We start from the raw sequence: 19,420 nt of genomic DNA, 5'->3' as shown, positions 1-19,420 counted from the left end.
AACTTGAACAAATAACACAGCAGCCTTCCTAGCCTGGAAGCTACTCTCCCCATGTGATTTCTCATACACTAGAAACACACAGTTTGGACAGTAAGGAATATTTTTAAAAGTCATCTCTATGTAGAAATCAGACTCTGCCCAACAACAAATTGTAAGGTCTCTTCTCATTCTAATATTTTATGATATATGTTGGGTTTCAACTTCTGAGAAGCTTTTAAGATATCTTTTGCAAAGAAGAAAGGAATATCCTAAATCTCTCTCATGGAAATCAAAGGGAAATCAGAAACATAACTTCCTAGACATTTAAAAAATTTCCACAATGCAGCTACTTAGGGTATAAGTTTATATATATTTTTTACATTTCTAAAAGAAGACAGGTGTTAAAATAACGACTATACAGAATAATGGTAATTACTCTATATCATACCTGTCATTTGAAGGCTGCGAGCCTTTTGTAACCAATAGCTAATTCTTTTAATGCCTCTTGGGGTAAGTATCATTATCCACATTTTACCTAACAGCAAACTGAGGGATCAAGAGCTCATTCAAATTCACACAGGCGGCCAGGAGCGGTGGTTCATGCCTCTAATCCCAACACTTTGGGAGGCCGAGGTGGGTGAAACATCTGAAGTCAGAAGTTCAAGACCAGCCTGGCCAACATGGTGAAACCGTGTCTCTATTAAAAATGCAAAAATTAGCCAGGCGTGGTGGCGCACCCCTGTAATCCCAGCAACTCGGGAGGCTGAGGTGAGAATTACTTGTACCCGGGAGGCGGAGGCTGCAGTGAGCCGAGATCACACCACTGCACTCCAGCCTGGGCGAGACAGCAAGACTCCGTCTCAAAAAAAAAAAAAAAAGGTTCACACAGGCAAGTCACTGATAGAACTGGAATCAGAATAGGATAATGGCTACAAAGAGAATCTTGCCCAAATCCTCCAATGGCTTCCCATCTTACTTTACAGTAAGATCTAAAATCCTCACCATAGCCCAGAAAACTGCACAGGATTTGGCCTCAGATTACTTCTTGGATTCTATTTCTTCTCTTTTTTTTTTTTTTTTTTTTTTTTTTTGAGACAGAGTCTCATTCTGTCTCCCGGGCTGGAGTACAGTGGCGCGATCTCGGCTCACTGCAAGCTCCACCTCCTGGGTTCACGCCATTCTCCGGCCTCAGCCTCCTGAGTAGCTGGGACTACGGGCGCCCGCCACCATGCCCGGCTAATTTTTGTATTTTTAGTAGAGACGGGGTTTCACCATGTTAGCCAGGATGGTCTCGATCTGACCTCGTGATCCACCCACCTCAGCCTCCCAAAGTGTTGGGATTACAGGCATGAGCCACCGCGCCCGGCCTTCCTTGGACTCTATTTCTAATCTTTCTGCTCCAGCTACACTGGCTTATCTGCTGTTACTCAAATATCTCAAGTAAGCTCCTTTGGGTCTCTGTACTTCCTGTTTCCTCAGCCTAGAATCCTCTTTCCTCACTATCCACACAGTTTACTTTCTTACTCCTTTCACGTCTTTGCTTCAATCTCCCCTCCTCTGGGAGGCCTTCTGTACCACCTGCCCTCATCATAGCACCCAGTTATGTCTTTTTCATGGAGTGATCCCTATACAAATATGTTATTCATCTATCTGTTTTATTTGCCGTCTCTTTCTAGCCCATGAAGTTTCATGTTTCATCTACTGCTGTTAACCCCCCAGTACCTATAACAATGCCTGGACTCAATAAAATGTTTCAAAATTAATAAACAATGAATGAATAATCCCATTTCCAGCAAAGATTCTCCAGCAGATTCTCCAGTGGTTTCATACAACAGAATTGTGTTTCTCTGTAATGCCCACACTCTTCTTTCTCCTCCTCCTCGTCTTTATTATTTTTGTTTGATGGTGAACACAGCTGAAAATGCCCCACCTTACTCAGTGAGGAACACAGATCCTGAAGAGTGGCCCATTCAGACCACCCACAACAATAAAACAGAGAGCAAGCCAAAGGATTTGATTCTATAGGATCAGGTCCTGCCAAGTGTGCTTAAGGCCCCAAGCTGTTGGAATGACACACTTTTTTTTTTTTTTTTTTCCGGAGACAGAGCCACGCTCTGTTGCCCAGGCTGTAGTGCAGTGGTGTGATCTCGGCTTACTGCAACCTCTGCCTCCCGGATTCAAGCAATTCTCCTGCCTCAGCCTCCCGAGTAGCTGGGATTACAGGTGCATGCCACCACGCCTGGCTAATTTTTTTTTATTTTTATTTTTAGTAGAGATGGGGTTTCACCATGTTGGCCAGGCTGGTCTTGAACTTCTGGCCTCAAGTGATCTACCCACCTCACCCTCCCAAAGTGTTGGGATTACAGGTGTGAGCTACCGTGCCTGGCCAGATGACAACCTTTTTGAACCCCTTCTGGAGCAGGAACAAAGGCCTTTTGTCATTCAGCTGCATCAAAGATTAAACATAGGAAGGAAAGTTGGAGCACTTAGTATCCTCAAAGTAGGAAAATGGCTGGGGGTGGCGGCTCACATCTGTAATCCCAGTACTTTGGGATGCCGAGGCGGGTGGATCACCTGAGGTCAGGAGTTCGAGACCAGCCTGGCCAACATGGTGAAACCCCATCTCTGCTAAAAATACAAAAATTAGCTGGGCGTGGTGGTGCACACCTGTAATCCCAGCTACTTGAGAGGCTGAGGCTGGAGAAGTGCTTGAACCCAGGAGGCAGAGGTTGCAGTGAGCAGAGATTGTACCACTGCACTCCAGCCTGGAAGACAGAGCGAGATCCTCTGTCAAAAAAAAAAAAAAGAAAGAAAAGAAAGTAGGAAAACCTTTTATCATTTTATACAGCAAATCCCAAGAGCGTTTACCTATTGTGTGTTACCTAGAGGGGTAATTATTTACTGCTAAATTGCATGAACCAGAAGCCCTTAGAAAGGATACATCAAAGGTTTAGAGGCAGAGTAGGTAGGCCAAGAGCAATGTAGAAATGATGTAGGGGAACTTGCCTAATGTCTCAGACAGAACACAATGGAAGAGCCAGCAAGGAAAAGGAGAAAGCAGGAGAGACAGAGACATACTGGGTCTTAGAACTGTTCTGCACAAAAATGAAAGAAACAATGGGGAAAAAAACCACAGGACTTAGAAAAGTGAGTTGCAGTAATGACACCAGAATGCCAGGAACTTCATCCTGCTAAAGAACCCCTACCACTACGTTGGCAACCTGATATATCACTCACCTCTCTCCATCATGTCATTTACAGTCCTATCAAGTTTATTTTGTTTTTTTTTTTTCTTTTCAAGATGAAGTCTCACTCTGTCGCCCAGGGTGGAGTGCAGTGGCACGATCTCAGCTCACTGCAACCTCAGCCTCCTGGGTTCAAGCGATCCTCCCACCTCAGCCTCTCAAGTGGGTGGGACTATAGGTGTGTGTCACCATACCCGGCTAAGCTTTTTGTCTTTTTAGTGGAGACAGGGTTTCACCGTGTTGCCCAGGCTGGTCTCGAACTCCTGACCTCAAGTGATCCTTCTGGCTTGGCCTCCCAAAGTGCTGGCATTACAGGCATGAGCCACCACACCTGGCCCCAAGTTTTAATATATGACACTCTCCTACCCACTGAGAAACTGAGTAAAAATCAAATAGCTTTTCTTAAATAATTCTACCGTATCTGGGCACTGAAGAGTTCAACTATTTGATTTAAAGCCAAGTCTAGTAGGAGGGGTCTACAATCCACCCTTCTCATTACAGACAAATTATTTTATCAGATGTATTTCAGCACAGCATGTCACTGCTCAAATAATCAATGACTCTCAATTACTCACATAAGGCACACATGCCAGATACTGCATTCAAGGCCCTCCCACAATCCTAATAATATAAAATAACAACAATTGCTAACATCTGTGGGGTGCTTTGTGCATTATGGTCTCTGGTTAAGTGCTTTCCTTGTATTATTTCATTGAATCCTAGTAACAATTTATGTGGTCATTACTGTTATGCCCTCCATATTACAGAAGAGAAATGGAGGCACAAGGTGATACCAAAGAACCAAATCAACTTCATCTCCCATGACTACTGAGCTTCACCTAACCATTCTGCCTTATACATATTGCCTGGCACACTCACTTTCTCCTTTCTGATTCACTTCCTTCGAGGCCCCGCCTTCTTCAAGAAGCCTTCTCTGACCCCAGGCCACAATGATCTAGATTCATGTAGCACTTGGTCACTGTACCATCTTTAAACAATTATTTTTATTGTGTGTCTCACCTCCCCAAAAAGGTGGTTTTTTGTTTTGTTTTGTTTTTTTGAGACAGAGTCTCACTCTGTTGCCCAGGCTGGAGTGCAGTGGTGCGATCTCAGCTCACTGCAACCTCTGCCTCTCGGGTTCGAGAGATTCTGGTGCCTCAGCCTCCCGAGTAGCTGATATTACAGGTGCACACCACGACGCCTGGCTAATTTTTGTATTTTTAGTAGAGACAGGGTTTCACTATGTTGGCCAGGCTGGTCTTGAACTTTTGACTTCAAGTTATCAGCCCACCTCAGCCTCCCAAAGTGCTGGGATTACAAGTGTGAGCCACTGTGCCCAGCCCACCTTCCCAAAAAGGTTTTAAGCTCTACATCTGACACTTCTCTCTACCCTCCACAATGCTAATACCTTGTATTAACAAGGCATTCAATATCTATTTGGTAGCCAGGCGTGGTGGGATGCACCTGTAGTCTCAGGTACTTGGGAGCCTGAGGCAAGAGGATCGCTTCAGCCCAGGTGTTGGAGGCTGCAATGAGCTATGATTGTGCCACTGCACTCCAGCCAGGGCAATATAGTAAGACCTTGTCTCTGAAAAAATTAAATTAAGAAATTATCTATTTGGTCATGAATTTGTTGATACCCAATAGTGTCTGACACATATGAAGCACCTAATAAATAGTTTTTGAGAAGTAATATGAATGAGAGAAAACAAAACATAAAAAACAAATTAATGAAAAAATCTTATGCATAATAAATGAATGCAATCCATTTGTTAGCTGTAAGAGATAGTCTGGTAGATTTGAGAATACAATTGGACTAAGATATCAAAAATAAAATATTTTCTCTTCCTTTTGTTCTAACACACATAGTGACCTTGACCTCCTAGCAATTATTTTAATATTGTATGTGCTTTCTTAGGTCAAATCCTCATTTGATTTGATGTTCTCCCACTGCAGAGGAGGAAAAATCCCTCCTGGAAGAGTTAAGGATTTAAGGACTTTTGGACTCTGGATATATAACAAATGGCTCTTTTTGTGCCAAAAAAATTTTAAAGGGCACTAGAAGTGAGTCATACATCAACCAGTTGAACTTGCAACCCCGATATCATATCAAGGCACTTCAGCGTTTAATTGCTGAGAATGGGGAGGAGAGAGCTAGAGGAATGTGACCAAATTGAGCCAAAAAGATGCATAAAGGTGGGTGTCCCAGGAGTTGGCCAAGAATCTGCAGCAATTTTTTAAAAAATGAAAAACCACCCTGAAGATTAAATTCCTCCATATATCATTATATCTCTTAGGAGAAATAGTTCTAAATACCAGGGGAAGGCTATGTCCAATATCACAGCTATCTAAACCCACATTAAATTCCTTCATTGATATGAAAAGAAGTTGAATAAAGCAGATGTCTCTAGCAGCTACTTGGGAAAGAGAGAATGTAAATGAATAGGGGTCTGTTAGGATTGTGGTTTCTGTCTAAAGGATCATGTATTCTCTATGACATCTTAAAACTTCTCTCTAATACTTTTCCAGGAATTGAAGAGTGGCAGCAAGGTACCTCCTCATTAACTAGAAACCACAAATTGACGAAATTAATCACTATGATAAGGCTTGTCCTGTTTTAACTTGAATACCAAGAACAAAGCAAATTACAAGTGCTAAATGTTCACTGCACCCAAACAACCAACAGAGCGTTGGTTTTTTGTTTTTTGGGGTTTTCTTTTTGAAAAAAAAAAGGGGATGAGGTCTCGCTTTGTGCTCAGGCTGGAGTGCAGTGGCACAATCATAGCTCACTGCAGCTTCAAACTCCTGGGCTCAAGCGATCCTCCTGACTCAGCCTCTTAAGTTGCTGGGATTACAGGCACATGCCACCACACCCAGTACAACAGAGCTTCTGCAAGAACTGCATGATGCATCCTCTTCAGTGAGAGGAAGTGCTTGGGCACAGAGCACTGTGACTCGTGGAGTGATGCACATTATTCGCAGCTTTCCTGTAGTCCAGGCTCCTCAGGGCAAGTTTCTCAGCCAACAATGAGGTTATACTCAGCAAGCACTTCTGGGAAAATATGCCCATTTCAGAAGGTGGTACAGATTATATCTTAACAACTGACCAGAGCAGGGGGAAAGCTATATATTGGGGAAAATATAAATTTTTATCCTATAAATATGTGGTCTTATAATCTTCCAATACGAAGAACTCAGCCTAGTTCCTCTACTAGCCCCTCTTTTCCCTACAGCCCATCGACTTGAATGCACTGCAAGTCATTGCAAGAACTGTCGACTTGAATGTTCTTGCAAAACTTGCTGGCAAGCTAGCTAGGAAGGTTAAACTGTCTACAGCAACCCATATACAAATTAGTTTGGCTATATTATTTAGATTGCATTAAAGGCCATGTGGTTGCTTTCTCAAAAGATCTTATAAAGTTGGAATCTTCTAATTCCCTTTTATCAACTGCACTTTGCTGAGTCTCTTCTAATACTCTTTCCTTCGTTTTATTTTTGCACTTTCTCTCACGATGTGATTCCTCCCTTCCTTGCTATTAGAGTCCTCCCTCCCTCCCTTTTTTTTTTTTTTTGAGACAGAGTGTCGCTCTGTCACCCAGGCTGGAGTGCAGTGGCACAATCTTGGCTCACTGCAACCTCCACCTCTTAAACTCAGGTGATCCTCCCACTTAAGCCTCCAGAGTAGCTGGGACTATAGGAGTGCACCACCACGCCTAGCTAACTACCTTTGTATTTTTTGTAGAGGCGAGGTTTCGTCATGTTGCTCAGGCTGGTCATGAACGCCTGGGCAGATTCCTTTATTTCTAACAGTCAAAATGTCCAGCAAAACAACTCAGACCTATTTCTAAGATCAGTTTAAAGTTGCGCATAATTTCAAACTTTCCAAAGAACTGACTGTAATTTTTTTTTTAAGAGATCGAGTATTGCTCTGTCAGTCAGACTGGAGTACAGTCATGCAATCACAGCTCACTGTAGCTTTGACCTCCCAGGCTCAAGCGATCCTCCCACCTCAGCTTCTCAAGTAGCTGCAAATACAGGCATGCGTCACCATGCCCAGCTAATTTTTTTATTTTTTGAAGAGACAGGGCTCGCTATGTTGCCCAGGCTAGTTTCGAACTCCCAAACTCAAGCCATCTTCCTGCCTTGGCCTCCCAAAGTGCTAAGATTACAGGCATGAGCCACTATGCCCAGCACATAATTTTTAAAATTTAGAAATTTCTTAATGAATAAAGACGCTTAAACGTACACCTCTCTCTAAAAGGCACCAAGATGCCTTGCTTTTATTCCCTAGCAATTCCAGAGGGAACTGCAGGCCAGTGTCAAGCCACAGGGCATCAAATAAGCTCAGCTAAAACACAGGGAAGAAGCTTGGCTTATGGAGGCTGTTATTTGCCACTGAGTCATGGTTAATAACCAGATCTGCTCTTGCTTCCTAGTTAGTTTGCCATGAGTTTGCAGGGGCTATCGAAGCTTGGATTTTCCAAAAAGAAAAGATTCTTTGCTCTCAACTCTGCAAGCTCTGGCCCTGAGGTGCTGGTTGCTAAATCTACCAATGCTTCTTACCAGTGTGGGCTGGAGTTCCTAGCGGGCAGGGAACTCCAGATGCTCTAAGGATAAACCTGCCTCCAGGATTGGGGAAATGACTCAGATAATAGCACACCTGAGTCATCTTCCCATTTGCTTATGAGCTTCATTAGTATTCTTCACTTCAAACATTACCATAGTAGAAAAAAAATACATAGAAACTTTCCTCTCAAACTCTGTCAACCCTTTGTCTCAGTTCTTCTGCCTCTGCCTTTTCCAATTATCCAAGAGCTGGGTCAGCTGCTCACCTCATCTTTAGCTTTAGCCTCCTATGCCTGAAACAATCCAGACGTGATGCAGGAAGAACTTATATGATCCCCCACCCTGTAACAGAGCACTGAAAGGTACAAACCAGACTCTCCCAGTGTGCCTTTGTTCATAGGCCTGGACTTGTGCTTTGGCCTTCACTTCAAGTTCTAGCCTGGAAACTATAAAACTGCTCCCCCTTTTCAATCCTCTGCCCCATACACTCACTTGCCCTGTATTGATACAGAAAGAGAACATGAAAAAATGATGTGTCAACACTGCAGTTCCAACTAATTTCAATAATGTTGAACTAAATAACAGTTAAAACACTTTTTTTTTTTGAGATAAGGTGTCACTCTGTCACCCAGGCTGGAGTGCAGTGGCTCAATCTCGCCTCACTACAGCCTCGACCTCCCAGGCTGAAGTGATCCTCCTACTTCAATGTCCCAAGTACCTGGGACTACAGGGGAGCACCAATTCACATGGCTAATTTTGTTCATTTTTGTAGAGACAGGGTCTCGCTATGTTGCCTAGGCTGGTCTTAAACTCCTGGGTTCAAGTGATCCTCCCATATTGGCTTCCCAAACTGCTGGGATTATAGGCATGAACTACCACGCCTGGCCCAAAATACAATTATTAGAGGAAAAAGTAATCTTGGCAAAATGCCTCAGAAGGTTCTAGCTGAACCTTCCTCTGATTCCCATTCTAGCTGTGACAAATTCTGAAATACAACACTACTGCTATGGCTCAGGAGATGAAATCAGAAGAGTTTGAAATTCAAAATGGAGATTCATAATTTATAATGGAAAAGAGTGGGGATAAAGGAAACTCATAACCAGAAACAGCTCCCAAACCTCAATATGGCCTTTGCATTTCAAAGTATTTCCTATTAACTTTTTTTAAGCTGTGTAGTAGCCAGGCATGGTGGCTGATGCCTGTAATCTCAGAATTTTGGGAGGACAAGGTGGGAGGATCACTTGAGTCCAAGAGTTTGAGACCAGCCTGCACAACATAGGGAGACCCCATCTCTATCAAAAACAAACAAACAAACAAACAAAATTAGCTGGGCACGGTGCTATGTGCCTGTGGTCCCAGCTACTTGGGAGGCTGAAGTGGGAGGACTGCTTGAGCCTGGGAGTTTGAGACTGCAGTGAGCCGTGATCACGCCACTGCACTCCAGCCTGGGCGACACAGTGAGACTGTCTCAAAAACAAATAAATAAATGATAAAAATAAACATAAAAGTTGTGTAGCTTCATATGACCAATTAACTTGGTTTATTCCTCTTTTCCTTCCTTTGCCTGATGTTTGGTAGAGATTTTAAAAAGAAAGAAATAGGCCGAGCACAGTGGCTCACACCTGTAATCCCAGCACTTTGGGAGGCTGAGGTAGGTGGATCACTTGAGATCAGGAGTTCGAGACGAGCCTGGCCACATGGTGAGACCCCGTCTCTAATAAAAATACAAAAATTAGCCAGGCATGGTGGCGTGCACCTGTAATCCCAGCTACACAGGAGGCTGAGGCAGGAGAATGGCTTAAACCCGGGAGGTGGAGGTTGCAGTGAGCTGAGATTGCACCTCTGCACTCCATCCTGGTGCAACAGAGCTAGGAGCCATCTCAAAAAAAAAAAAAGTTTTATATGTTAATGATCACACACACACACACACACACACAGAATATGAGCAGCTGAGGATAAAAAGAGGCAAAGCAAAGAGCCTAGCTCAGCTGCAGCAAAACAACAATTAGCTGGAGACAAGTGGCAGCTGTCCCCTTCAGCTGTGGGCTATGTGGTCACCAGGTTGCCTCGGACCCATCACACACTCTATGAATTTATGGCTCCCGCCTGGTCACTGTTAGTGCTAGAGTTTCCAAGCTCAGGGATAAGAAACACACAAGCTGAACAATCAACCTTTGCCTAACTAATTGTATTAGTTTCCTATTGCTGTTGTAATAAATTAGCACAAATTTGATGGCTTAAAATAGCACAAATTTATTATCTTATAGTTTCGCAGGTTAGAAGTCTGACATGGGTCTCACTGGGCTAAATTCAAGGTGTCAGCAGGGCTATGTTCCTTTCTGGATGCTGCATGGGAGAATCCATTTTCTTACCTTTTCCGGCTTCTAGAAGCTGCCTGCATTTCTCGGCCTGTGAGTCTTTTCTGTACCCTCAAAGCCAGCAAGACAGCATCTCTCTCTGGCCCTCCTTCTGTTCTCACATCTCTTTCCCTGACTATCCTTACATCTCTTTCCCTGACTGTCCTTTTCTGCCTCCCTCTTCCACTTATGGGGTTCTTGAAATTGCACTGGGCCCACCCGCATAATTGTGGATACCGTCCCTCCTGCCGATTAGTAATTTTAATTCCTCTTTGCCATGTAGGGGACCATTGACTGGTTCCAGGGATTAAGACATGGACATCTTTGAGAGGCCATCAATTCCTCCTATCACATCAATCAATCAATGTGTATTTCACAAATTATGAGAGAAAATGTAAAGCATGTGCTTTTTGGCTTATAATATATGGACTCCTACAAAATTAGAAGTTGTTTGTAAGGCAAATTAAAGTTGAAAGGTATTAAACTAAAGGAATCTGTGGCGAATTATTCTGTAAAGATATTAATTTCCTAACATCTTATTTTATGAATCCAGATTTTTGCACATTTACTTAATGTGAGGCTAAGGCTTAAATGTGGTTAAAACCATTCATTCCTTCATGCATTTATTTATTTAATTTAGAGACAGCATCTAATTCTGTTGCCCAGGCTGGAGTGCAGTGGTGTGATCATAGCTCACTGCAGCCTCGAACTCCTGGGCTCAAGCGATCCTCCTGCCTTGGCCTCCCAAAGTGCTGGGATTACAGGTATGAGCCTCCTGCCTGGCCCTATTTGAATATTTTGAGAATCTGCGGGAAAGGGAATGCAGTCAAAAACGATACAACCATTTTCTGATAATCCACACAGAAATGTAACCTTCACGTACATTTCTGAACCTGATAACTCTGGCACGAAATATATTGTTAATAAACCCTTGAGTCTCATTCAGCTAGTGAGCACTGATAGTATACTGGTTAAGAGCATAGGCTCTGACATCAGCCTGCCTAGGTTCAAATCCTACCTCTGAAAACTTGGAGCTGTGGGACCTTGGGTTAATTATTGAATTTCTCTGAGCTTCACTTTCCAAATCTATAAACTAAGAATAGTTAGCAGTACCTATTGCATAGGGCAGCCATGAGAATTAAACAAGATACAGAATATAAAACACCCAGTATGGTGTCTGGTACGTATTAAGTCCTTAATAAATGGTTTCTCTTATTATCACCACTTGCTGATGCCCATGCTTAGGTGCAAGCGATATACAGGAAGTATCCTACAACTTGGATTCATTATTTTCAGGGCTTGAAAATGAAAGTGAGAACAGGACATGATCACCAAAGGGAAGGCAGCAGGCAAAATATTAAATTAAGATAAAATTTGAGTCTTCCCTTGGTAGATACCCACGGTTTCTACTTGCAGCCTGTGTGAAAGATAGAATGACCTTCAATACTTAATGCAAGTGTGAATCATCCTCAGAAAACCACATGATTTTATATTGAATATCTGAAAGAACAGTTATATTTGGTATCAGAGCATAATTTGTTTTTCTGCTCAGAATCCTCATGTAGCTTGTTTTCCCTTTGGATTTTAATGGCTCTTTACAGCCTCCCAAATAAGTGAACCTCATGTCCAAGGTGTTCAAGGCTCTGCACAATTTTATCCTTTTTTGTAAAAAAAAAAAAAATTATCTATTTATTTTTGAGATACACTCTCCCTCTGTTGCCCAGGCTGGAATGCAGTAGTGCCATCTTGGCTCACTGCAACCTCCATCTCCTGGGATCAAGGGATTCTCCCACCTCAGTCTCCTGAGTAGCTGGGACTACAGGTGTGTGCTATCACGCCAGGCTAATTTTTGTAGTTTTTGTAGAGATGGGGTTTCATCATGTTGCACAGGCTGGTCTCGAACTCCTGCCCTCAAGCAATCCACCCACCTCGGCCTCCCAAAGAAGGAGGGACTACAGGTGTGAGCTACTGCACCCAGCCCAATTTTATCCTTTTCAACGTTTCAACTTTTAGCTCACTTAAACCCCTTATGCAAACTCACTATCCTGTCAAACTACAAAACTTTCTAGTTAGACTGTTCTCACTGCACTAAAGGACTGCTTTGTATACTAGTTAAAATAGTATATTTCTTGTCTAGTCTAGAGGCTGAGACCAAGGACCACATCTTAGATATCTACATATTTCCCCACAGTGACTAATATGTAATAAGTACCTAATTAATATTTGCTAAAGAAATGGATTACTTGTCCTTCCACTCATTAAGGTCATTTCTACATATGAAACTTTGATGCCCATTTTTCAAAGCTATTTTCCTCCTTCAACTGACAGCCTCCTTTTTAAACATCCTGATTCACCAGATAATCATTACATTATATGTCTTTAAAAAGTTGCACTTCTAAATTTATCCTGATGTTTTAGATTTTTTAAATTCCATACGTCTGTGAGAATCCTCTCCTTTTTTTTTTTTTTTTTTTTTGCTAGGGCTCTTTGTAAAATAAATATTGTTTCCAGATAGACTACTTATGCCAATATCATTAAAATGATGGAATAATATAATAACTACTTCCTACCTTCATGGTTACTGTGATGGTACTATTTACATTTGCTTTATGCAACCAGCCTTGTTTTATCACACCACCCTTCTGAGAACATAAAGAAGATGAGTCCTGAAATAGAACAAAAATTATCAGTAAAACAACAGCCAGCCTGCCATCTAATTAGCGAAACATTTAGGGGCACAGAATGAGGCCCTGCCCATTTCCTAATTAAAACATAAAGTCCCCTCTTCCCCGTGAGGATTTAAAATAGTTGACTGTAGAATGAAAGGCTCTGTGCTATGCACACAGTAGGCACTCAGTATTTACTGAATGGTATGGGCTCTCTTCTGGGAAATCTTCTGCATTATGTAAACAGTCGAACTGCACCTCGAAATGTCACAGACATCCGGGCCATCTGTCCCAAGAGGAATCTATCAGGCAGGAGAGTCCAGATGAATCACCACACCACATGCCCAACTCAAGAAAAGCAACTCCACAAGCATGTCCCACAGGTGGGGGAACATGTTTATGTACAAATCATAGCCCCTCTCACTTGATTTTTTTTCCTAAACCCTACTTGGAAATACAGTAATTAAAAAAAAAATTGAAAAGCACCCGGTTTGAAAGCTGGCCACAGATCATTCCAGAATAATTATTTCCTTCATATTTTCTCAAGAAATTCCCTTTGAAATCTTTTTCAGCAAAGTGACCGTGAGGAAACTAGCACAGTTACCCCAACTGTTGCCCCCATTCTTACCTCATCTTTCTCACAGTCTTCATCTATCTCAAATACATGATTAGGAATCTTTTCTGGTCTCAAAGATTTACTGCAAATATAAGAGAACTGTCTTAGACACTAAAAAGACCAAAAAAAAAAAGAAAAACAACACAAAAACACAACAATAATGACAACAACAGTAAAAGCAAGATGAGCAGATTTCTTTCTTTCACAAACGAGAAAATGCCAAGACATCCTATTCTCCTTTCCAAATTCAGATTATCCCCTCTGAGTAAACTTACTGTAAGTTTGTGTTTCTGTAAGGACTTCCACATATGTGGCCAGCAGCGAAGACATAACTAAGCCCAGAAACTTAGGGAGGGCAGAAGTTGCTAAGGAACCTGTGCCAGAGCTGTTAGTGGTGGCAGAACTTCTCCTTCCCCGGGTCAAAAAGCAACACAGGCCAGGCGTGGTGGCTCAAACCTGTAATCCCAACACTTTGGGAGGCAGAGGCGGGTGGATCACCTGAGGTCAGGAGTTCAAGACCAGCCTGGCCAAAAGGGTGAAACCCCGTCTCTACCAAAAATTAAAAAAAAAAAAAAAATTAACTGGGGGTGATGGCGGGTGCCTGTAAGCCCAGCTACTCAGGAGGCTGAGGCAGAAGAATCACCTGAACCCGGGAGGCAGAGGTTGCAGTGAGCCGAGATCGCGCCACTGCACTCCAGCCTGGGTGACAAGAGCGAAACTCTGTCTCAAAAAAAAAAAAAAAAAAAAAAAAAAAAAAAAGCAACAGTGTAATTCTGGCTCTTGCATTTGTTTGCTGTATGACCTTGGACTGGTCATTTTAGGACTCTGTTTTCTTTTTCTTTTTCTTTTTTTTTCCCAAGGACCAGGCTGTCATATAGGACTCAGTTTTCTCCTCTTTTGGAAAGTGCTCTGAAAACTACAAAAGGCTAAACAAATGTCTTATTCCTCTGCTATTTGTTCCAAAAACATTTCCCATATGACATCCTGTGAGGAATTAGTGCTAGAGATGAGAAAATGGAGAGCTCAAACAGGTTAAGTGACTGAGCCATGGTCATCCAGCTAGTAAGTGGTAGAAATAAGATTTGAGCCCCAACAGTCTGGCTCCTGGGCCAGTGTGCTCATGCCATTCCTTCAATTCAACTGAAAGAGATGCACTTTTTCCAAGGGATGGCTAGGTTCATCAAACTGAACTAATTATCATCAAGCTTTTTCACTGACACTACTGGAAAATGCTCACTACATTATCCATCATCAGCTATATTTTAGTTTATGATCAATACAGGTTCACTAAAGCCAAAAAGTGAGCTCTCATACATTTTGGAATTTCAAAGAGGAAAGTTAAAACCTATTCAATTAACCAAAACACTGCATTTAACCAAACATGCAGGTTCCTTGAAGATTTGCTTTATTACAAATTATAACTGAAAGGTTTCACAAGTGGTGTTTGTTTGTTTTGAGATGGAGTCTCTATCTGTCGCCCAAGCTGGAGTGTGATGGCATGATCTCCGCTCACTGCAACCTCCGCCTCCCGGGTTTACAACATTGTCCTGCCTCACCCTCCCAAGTAGCTGAGACTACAGGCGCCTGCCACCACGCCCGGCTAATTTTTTGTATTTTTAGTAGAGACAGGGTTTCACCGTGTTAGCCAGGATGGTCTCGATCTCCTGACCTTGTGATCTGCCCGCCTCGGCCTCCCAAAGTGCTGGGATTACAGGCGTGAGCCACTGCACCCGGCCTCACAAGTGGTTTTAACAAGGTAAAAAAGCTTAATAATTCTCCTGTTGCATGTTTCCCTGGAATGCTAAACTTACCATGGCAACATTCGAAAGTCCCCAGAGAAGTCCTCATACTTGTAGTTTACCACGTGCCAATCTGTGCTATAGGTTTTAATACACTGAAAGAAAATAGGAATCTTGAATTTGAAATATAGGAAAAGTACATATATATCCACTTTTTAAAACTCTGGTACTATGCCGACAGGCTTTCTAAAACCATTTGGCAATTACTAGTACTGGGATCTTCCTTTATGGGTTAACTGTGTCTCTCTTACCCAGTTGGTGGCAATAAATCCCAATTCATATGCCCTTTGAATACTCTGACTCTCAGTGCAAAGAGTATTCAAATCCAAAAGGAAAACACTAAGGTCATATGCACCTTGTGGAAATGTTTAAGCTTTATCATCATATAGACTTGTTAACAGCATATAAACTTGTTATTTAGGACAGTTAATGTTAGTTATTTTATTTTACCTTTACATTAAAGGAAGACTACTTTAAATATTTTACATTTATGTATTTATAAACAGGTTACAAATACATAAAGACATATAAATACTGTATATATTTTAAATATATGAAGAATATTCTTCTGTGGCCTTTGAGCCTCTTACCTCTTTAACAAATAAACTCTGGGCCCTCTTTTCAGCATCTTCTGGTACAGTAGACTGCACCGTTCTGCGTTGACGACCTATCACCGAGATCTAGAACACAAAGAACATTTTTGCTGTAAGAACTGGCTTGAAAAATAGGGGTTTTTTTCTTTAAAGAAGTGTTTGTGAACTCACAGATATATCTTCCATTGGGAACATAAGCAGATCTCGGAGGGGGTCGCTGTAAATCTGGGTTTTTCTTTGGGCAATAACATTCTCATAGTCCAGGGGCTCAACAACTTTGGCCTTTTCCTTTATAAGAGACAAAAGTAAAGTTATTATGATCAAACTCACAAGAGTTAAATAACTTTCTATGTACTAAAGATACATTACTTCTCAAAGGAAGGGATTACTGATACTTTTAAGTACTTAATTGAGACAGTTTCACAAGAGAAATAGTCTTCATAGCTAGACACACACCACAAACACATACACACACACACACACACACACACAAACACACACACACACACACAGACATTCTCTTGCTAAAGATAAAGAGTTCTGGCTGGGCATGGTGGCTCATGCCTGTAATCCCAGTACTTTGGGAGGCTGAGGAAGGTGGATGACTTGAGCCCAGGAATTAGAGATCAGCCTGGGCAACATGAGAAAACCCCATCTCAACAAAAAGTACAAAAATTAGCTGGGTGTGATAGCCCATGCCTGTAGTCCCAGCCACTCGGGAGGCTGAGGCAGGAGGATCACTTGAGCCTGGGAGGTTGAGGTTGTAGTGATCCGTGATTGTGCCACTTATATCTGGGCAACAGAGCAAGATCCTGTCTCTCCAAAAAAAAAAAAAAAGTTCTGGAGAAATAGAACTGTGTTATTCTACTTAATCTGTGTGCCTTCTAAAAATTATTGAATTTTAAGTAAAACAAAAAGTGGCATACTTGGAAGTGTGCCTGTTGGTATTTACTGCATCTGTACTACTCTCTGGGCAACGTTGGAGGAGAAAGTATCAACATTCATGTTCCTACTCTGTACCAGGGACACTGTCCCATGGGCATACTAAGTTCCAGCATATCCAGGGCAGGCATAGATACTAGAGATGCTTGATCCCTTGGGCAGGTTATGAAAGGGTTAGGTTCAAGGTGACAAAGTCAGTGGATCCCTGCTGGACTTCTAGGCGAGCTGGCCATTGACAGTAGGACCCAGACTGAAGCTAAAGTAACAAGAAGCAGGGTCAGTGATGCTAAGAAAGCCAGGATGTAACATAATAAGAGTAGTGGTAACAGTTCACATTTACTGAGCCCTTTCTATATGCCAGGCACTGTGCTAAGCGCTTTCTGTACATTTTTTCATGTAACACTCATAGCAATATGAAACAGATTGAATCATTATCCCCATTTTACAGATGCAGAGACTCTGGACCTAACTGAGGTTAAGTAACTTGCCTGCCTTCAGAACTGGAATTCAAACCCAGGTCTGTGACTGCAAAGGCTCTGCTTTTCTTTTTCCCCTCAGAAATACACAAAGACGGCACCCACTTCTGCACACCCATGGCTGACCCTGCAGCTGTGTGTACACATGCAACTGACTTCAATGTCTATCATCACTAGTTTTCATTGTCACAGGTGTGCATGCCATAAGCCTCAACCCCCACAGCCATATGAGGTGACCCTGACTTCCACCACTGGCCATCACTACTGTACATGCACCCACAGCTGTCATGCATGCACACCACCAGCCCTTGACCCCTGCAACTGCGGGGGAGCGGGGGGCGGAAAGAAAAAGAAAGAAATATACCAAGATTCTCATGTGCATGGTACTGAACTGGGAATGGGATCCCACTATTTACCTTCCTATCATTTTTTTTCCTTCATTGAACTTACCACAATCTGATATACCATCTATTTCACCTCTCTGACTATTTGAGGGCAGGGATTTTCTTTTATTTGTTTACTTCTTTAATCCCAGCACTTAGAATACCTGGCACACGGTAGACATCCAGTCATTAATTGCTGATGAACTTTGAGATATTCAGATTCAACCAGAGCCATGTCTCAACACTCTATTCTAAACCAAGGTGGGCAGACAGTAGTAATTTTTAATGATGATGTTTCATATGAAATTATTTCCTTAAAATTTTATAATAAAAACTGTATAAAAACCCCAAATATAATTTATATTAAGACTTAATATTATAATAGCATCGGGATTATACTTGTATTTTTGTACATAGTATTTGAGGTAGTCTCTAGTATCACTACATCCATAGAAAAGTTGAGAATAGTTTTTATACATGGTTCACAACAGGTCACAGCTATACCCAATTTCCATATCGGAAGGGCATCTCAGAGTTTCCTGTAGAAGATTATTTAGAAAGATTAAAGTAAACTACTCTGACCAATGAGCTCAGTGTTCAACAAATCTAAAAGATCCTAACCTTTATGCTTTATTTCAAGTCTTAAATTTGGATTTGTAGACCCATGTCTACAAAGATCAAAGCAAGTTGATCATCCCTCTCATGTCTGCAAATACTACTGCAAAATGAGTTGAAATAAAAGGAAAAAATCCTATTTGAGAAATTCAGATTTTCTGACAGAAAAATCTGACCCCTTTCGGCCATATCTACCGTGTTTCCATGGACTCAAAAGGAAACTGACTGCATCTTCCAGCTCTAACGCTCACAGTCTGAGATCAATTTCTCAGAGAAGTTGAATGAATAAGTCCTATCTAAGAAAGCAAGCTTGAGGCACTAAAAATAATCTAAGTCTTGCTTTTGGTGCCAACTATTTTCCTAGTACAGATTGCAAAAACAGTCCTCAAATTTCAATGTTTTAACCTGTTGAATCTGTCAACTTCTCTGTACAATAATTTTACAAGTACCTACTTCAAGTATATTTGAAAAAGAAAAAAAAGAAAATCCTCCTTCAGCTTTCTTTTTTCTTTTCTTTTCCTTTTTTTTTTTTTTTTTTTTTTTTTGAGATGGAGTTTTGCTCTTGTTGCCCAGGCTGGAGTGCAATGGCGTGATCTCAGCTCACTGCAACCTCCACCTCCTGGGTTCAAGCGATTCTCCTGCCTCAGCCTCCCGAGTAGGTGGGATTACAGGTGCCTGCCACCACACCCAGCTAATCTTTGTATTTTTAGTAGAGACAGGGTTTCACCATGTTGGCCAGGCTGGTCTCGAACTCCTGAGCTCAGGTGATCCCCCCGCCTTGACCTCCCAAAGTACTGGAATTACAGGCATGAGCCACCATGCCTGGCCCTCCTTCAGCTTTCTAATGTAGCTCCAAATTAATATGGAAAGAATATGTCAAAATGAATCACTTATTTTTTTAATTTATGGGGTACAAAGTGGTGTTATGATTTTTAATACAATGTAGAATGATGAAATTAAGCTAGTTATATCTATCACCTCAAATATTTAACATTTCTTGTGATGAGAACATGAGAAATTTATTCTTAGTGATAAGATGTACAGTACTCAATTATTAGGCATATTCAGCATGCTATACTATTGATCTCAAAAAAACCAAACTTATTCTTCCTGTTTAACTGAGACTTTGTATCCCACCATTGACTACCATCTCCCCCACTTTGCCCCCAGCCCCTGGTAACCA

The 19,420-nt window shown here is 41.8% G+C and overlaps 1 protein-coding gene across 5 annotated transcripts in view, besides 1 other annotated feature; it reads right to left on the bottom strand.

Moving 5' to 3' along the window:
- The window catches only part of DOCK11 (dedicator of cytokinesis 11), a 190,333-nt gene that overhangs the window by 127,314 nt on the left and 43,599 nt on the right, over nucleotides 1-19,420 (bottom strand). For all 5 annotated transcript variants that reach the window (XM_005262368.5, NM_144658.4, XM_011531276.4 and 2 more), the window contains exons 2-6: nucleotides 15,993-16,109; nucleotides 15,819-15,908; nucleotides 15,241-15,323; nucleotides 13,442-13,511; nucleotides 12,718-12,813 (exon numbers count right to left, since the gene is read on the bottom strand). In XM_005262368.5, the coding sequence (XP_005262425.1) occupies nucleotides 12,718-12,813; nucleotides 13,442-13,511; nucleotides 15,241-15,323; nucleotides 15,819-15,908; nucleotides 15,993-16,109 (456 nt within the window). The remainder of the gene's footprint in view (nucleotides 1-12,717; nucleotides 12,814-13,441; nucleotides 13,512-15,240; nucleotides 15,324-15,818; nucleotides 15,909-15,992; nucleotides 16,110-19,420) is intronic.
- Nucleotides 1,274-1,568: an enhancer, noted in NCBI's record as "tiled region #12264; K562 Activating DNase matched - State 5:Enh". NCBI's record gives its function as "activates a minimal TATA promoter and a strong SV40 promoter by Sharpr-MPRA in K562 cells {active_cell/tissue: K562}" and the evidence as "EXISTENCE:reporter gene assay evidence [ECO:0000049][PMID:27701403]".

Source organism: Homo sapiens, chromosome X, assembly GCF_000001405.40.
Source record: "Homo sapiens chromosome X, GRCh38.p14 Primary Assembly".
NCBI lineage: Eukaryota > Metazoa > Chordata > Mammalia > Primates > Hominidae > Homo > Homo sapiens.
This window is presented reverse-complemented; position numbering and strand designations above follow the sequence as displayed.